Below are 4,569 nucleotides of genomic sequence, written 5' to 3'. Positions count from 1 at the left end.
ACAAGTGCTGTATTTTCCATTTAATTATTTTAATATACACTCATCAAATGTGTCATGGTCTGTATTAGGTGCTGAGGATTCAGTGATGGACAAAGCCATAAGCAACCTGTCCTCAAGGGGCTTACCTGTTGTTGGAAGGAGACAGATGAGAACATAAAGGAAATATACACATAAAATAATTTGAGATGTTGATAGTGACGGGTGCTAGAAAAAAATTTAGGAAGTTTTTTGGCAGTGAGTTGGTGTTGGCTATTTTCAGTGGAGTGCTCTTCTGAGGGCCTGAACAAGTCAGTCATGTTAGTTTGTGAGGGAAGAATAATCCAGGCAGAGGGAGTAGGGCAGAGCAGGTAGGGCAAAGACCATAGGGTGAGGATGACATTGGAGTTTTACAGAATAAAAATGAGATTGTATGACAGGAACATAGAGAGCGAGAAGAAGAGTGGTACAAGTGAGATCTAGAGATGAAGGCAGGAGCCAGAAAAATGCAGAGCCTTGTATAATACACTTAGAAGTACCTAATCTATCATTCTGAATTTAGAGGAAGCTCACAAAATTTAAGCAGAGAAAATATATTATTTGATGGTTTTGTAAAAAAGATCACACTGGTCGCTATGATGAAATGTAATGTGTACATCATGCACAAAGAAGAGAAAGAGTAACATTACTTTGAAAAAGTTAGGGGACGGAGCCAGGCGCAGTGGTGTGCACCTGTAGTCCAGGTTGAGGCAGGAGGACTGCTTGAGCTCAGGAATTTGAGGCTGTAGTGCACTATGAGTGTGCTTGTGAATAGCTAGTGCACACCAGTTGGGCAATATAGCAAGACTCCGTCTTTGAAAAAGTAAAGTTGGGGAAGCATTGAGAAGGAAGAAGTGCTCTGAGCAATGAGATGGGCATGTTTGGGCAACAGTGAGTTTTCCAGTGTGGCTAGAGCATCCAAAATGTGGGGAGGATGTAATGAGAGGGAATCAGGAAGGAAGGTGGCTATCAGGTTATGTCTTGATAACATTCTGTAGGCAGCTGGAAACTGATCTTTGTTTTGGAAAGATAATGTTGGTGACTCTGTGAAGGATATTAGAGGAGGCAAGAAGACCATTGATGAGGTTCCTGCAATAGGTCATTTGAGAGGGCCAAGTAGTGACAATGAGAAAGAGAAGACAGAAACAAGAGCTGCTGACATGGAGAGCTGACAGCACTTGGTGATGAACTGGGTATCTGTGGTGAGGGGAGGGAGAACCTGAAGACATCTGCAAGGCAAGCTGGGGGCGCCCTTTTCTATGAGAGGAAAGTTGGAGGATAGGGTAGAGCTTTAAGCTTTGAACCAGCTGAATGTGAGTTTTTGGCAGGACCGCCACATGATGCTGCTGGAGAGACAGCGGGAAAAGCAGAGCCGGAGCTCAGGTAGTTTGGCCTTTAAGAGCACACCTATTCCAACTAATTTCTTCTAATCTGTGAAAAATTTTGTGAATTTTAAGATATTCGCTATTTTCAAGAAGACAGAAGTTTCACGAGTGTTTGTCATAATCAAGTGGCATTTTCTACCAAAGGAAAGGTTTTCTTCTTTAAAAAAACAGAACATTCGGTAAAAAGAAAGCTGGTTGATGATTTTGGCTTCCTTTTCTTACTTTGGAAATGGAGTTATCAGACTTGTTCAGCCCCAAGGAATAAAATTAGGGAAGATCGTTATACAACCTTAGTGTTATAAGGAAAAGAAGCCTTGTTAAAATAATGAAGAAGTAGACAATCTCTTATATCCCTGCAGGAGGTATTAGGAGAGAGTAGAAGAAAGCAACTTTTTTCTTAAAGTTTATGTTTGATTATTCTGATAGTTCTTGCAAAATACCGGACACAAAAGACTAGGTCTGGGGGCAATAAAAATTGCTAGATGAGAAAAAAATATGTCAGTAAGAGAAAAAGAGACTTAAAATGTTTGAATTGGAAATCATTAGTTGTCTGCAGTGCCAAGTTGAATAAACTAAAAAGCAAAATGGAAGACTTATGTTCAGTCCCAATCACAGCATGAGTAGGAGCCTTATTCTCTCGGTTTCTTCTTCTCAGTTGTATAATCATGTCTTTGTTAACAGTTACATTTCCTACTCACGAGCCAGGAAATACCTTCTTTGCTGATACTAATGTGAAAGTATGGAGCCAGTCGTGTGGAGACAACAAAGGTCATTTTTAATTGCTATCTCTCATGTCTCAGGACTGCATCATTGCTTACCCAACATGACTCAGCCTCGGTATTGCCACTGACTCACGGAGCTCCTAATAGAGGAGAATTAGTGTCACAGATCGACTGGAAAACCAATCCACATGAAGCCAGGAAGAGAAATGAAGCTGCTGTTGCTGAATCCATAGCTGGCCTTAATGATGCTGGCTAGGAAAGACGGCCCATTCTGGGGGAGATAAGTCAATTTTGCAGTGTCTGTTATTATCATAGTGACTATTGTCTTCCTGTTTTATATTTATTTACCTAAATTGTTTTGGAAAGACTCAGAGGTATAGAGACATGCCTACTTTTTGCAAAAATCATCACACTGTCATGGAGGTAGTCCAGGCTATGGGGCTCTTATTTGTTGGTGTCTTGGGCAAGTTGCTTGACCTCTGATCATTGTTTGCTTATTCTTATATGGCCCCTGTATTTCAGACTCACTCTGTGTCAGGCATTTGTTTACCTTTGTAGCAAGCTCAGGAGGAAAATACCATTGCCCTTGTTTTACAGGTGATGAAACTGTACGTTTTCCAAGGACACAGTGCTAGTAAGTAATGAATGTGAAATTTTAACTGTTTCAATCTCTTCTCAGAGCCAGTGCTAACTACTCTCCTAAACTTCCTCTCATCTGTAAAATATGGATGATAATAACACCTCTTACAGAGTTGTTGTACATATTAAATAATAGAACTGTGAAATGTGTAGTACTTCATTACGCATTAGGCAATCAATAAATGGTTGATAGTATTACTAAAAATAATGAAGAAAAATCTTCACTAAAGCATCCATAGCAGGAAGTCCTTGCTAGAACATAACCCTTTGTCCTTTCAGTGTAAATTAGTGTGATGTTACCAGCACTTACAGCAGATGGTAAGGAACACAATACAAAGGAATGAATCTCTAGTAGTGAAATGTCAGATACTATAACATTTGGATGGAAAACAAGCTTTTGTACATGTTTGAATCATCTTGCTAACTACCGTATCATTTCATGTTGACCTAGCATCCTTTTCCTTTAGTAAGATTGCCCTAATAAAAACAAAGCAATCGAGTTCCAAAGTAAGTGGAGTCTATACGGATCTGAGGGAGGCTGAGGTACCAGAATAAGTTTGTGAAACACTAATTTAGGATAACAAAATACAGTTCCTGATAGCTGTTGTAAATTTTATGTAAACAAATGCAATTAACATGAGAAAAAAACAGGAGTAAGCAGTTTCTAGGTTTTTACAGAATAGCAGCTACAGGGCAAGTATTGTTCTAGAAAAGTCCTGGTCAGGACACCTAAAGCGGAATAAAAAGGAGTGTGGTTTGGCCATATAGATCACTTGTGCTTAGACATTTATAAAGCCAACAAAACAGAAACAAAGATATGTTGCTTCTAATGAGAAGGGGCATCAATTTATGGCTTTGTGTAAGAAAGACTAACCATATTAGATTGTGGCCTTGAGAATAGGGAGAGTATCTTATTCACCCTTTTTTACCTAGAAAGATGTTCACTTTACCATCCCTGTCAGGTGCAAAGTGAACAACTAAGTAATTCTAAGGAAAACTACAGAGTGGAAATAATGAAGATAAAATGCATCATCAATCTATTAAAAAATAGATACAAGAGTTTATAAAGTTTAGCTTCTGATTATTGACCATTTCCTTTATTACTGCATGACACACAAAAAAGCCAAATTCATTTTTTACCAAATTGGGATAAAGATACATTTGGGATGATTTAATTTAATACACAACCTATGTCACAGCATAAATAATTTGATGTATGAATGGAGCCAGGGGCACCACAAAAATACACGCAGACTTTTTTTTATTTTTATTATTTAAGAGATAGGGTCTCACTTTGTTGCCCAGGCTGGAGTGCAGTGATGCAATCATAGCTCACTGCAGCCTCAAATTCCTAGGCTCAAGGGATCCTCCTGCTGCAGCTTCCTGAATAGCTGGCACTTCAAGCATGTGCCACCATACCTGGCTAATTTAAAACCAAAATCTTTTGTAGAGACAGAGTCACCATGTTGACCAGGCTGGTCTAGAACTCTTGGCCTCAAGTGATCCTCTTTCCTTGACCTCCCAAAGTTCTGGGATTATAAGTGTGAGCCACTGCACCTGGCCAGACATTTTATACAGCAGCAGACATTAGATATTATGGCAAATCTATGTGACTACAATTTGAATTAAGACACAGTGGACACTAGAAAACAGCAAGGGTTCCAAAAATATGTGCCCAAATAGAAATAATGAAAGCAGACTTTCCAAACAGTAGGCAGTGATGTGCAGTTAACTTGCTTCTCATGTGGATAATTCTATGTAGCATGCTCCAGAGTATCAGGATTTATTCTTCTGTCCCCCAGACATTA

The 4,569-nt window shown here is 39.2% G+C and overlaps 1 annotated feature.

Annotated features, from left to right (window-relative positions):
• Nucleotides 1,384–2,583: an enhancer, noted in NCBI's record as "P300/CBP strongly-dependent group 1 enhancer chr8:90623836-90625035 (GRCh37/hg19 assembly coordinates)". NCBI's record gives its function as "activates an origin of replication core promoter dependent on BRD2, BRD4, P300/CBP, MED14 and CDK7 cofactors, with strong dependence on P300/CBP, by STARR-seq in HCT116 cells {active_cell/tissue: HCT116}" and the evidence as "EXISTENCE:reporter gene assay evidence [ECO:0000049][PMID:35650434]".

Source organism: Homo sapiens, chromosome 8 (genome assembly GCF_000001405.40).
Source record: "Homo sapiens chromosome 8, GRCh38.p14 Primary Assembly".
Taxonomy (NCBI): domain Eukaryota; kingdom Metazoa; phylum Chordata; class Mammalia; order Primates; family Hominidae; genus Homo; species Homo sapiens.
The sequence above is the reverse complement of the archived record's forward strand: the minus strand, read 5'-3'. Positions and strand labels throughout refer to the sequence as shown.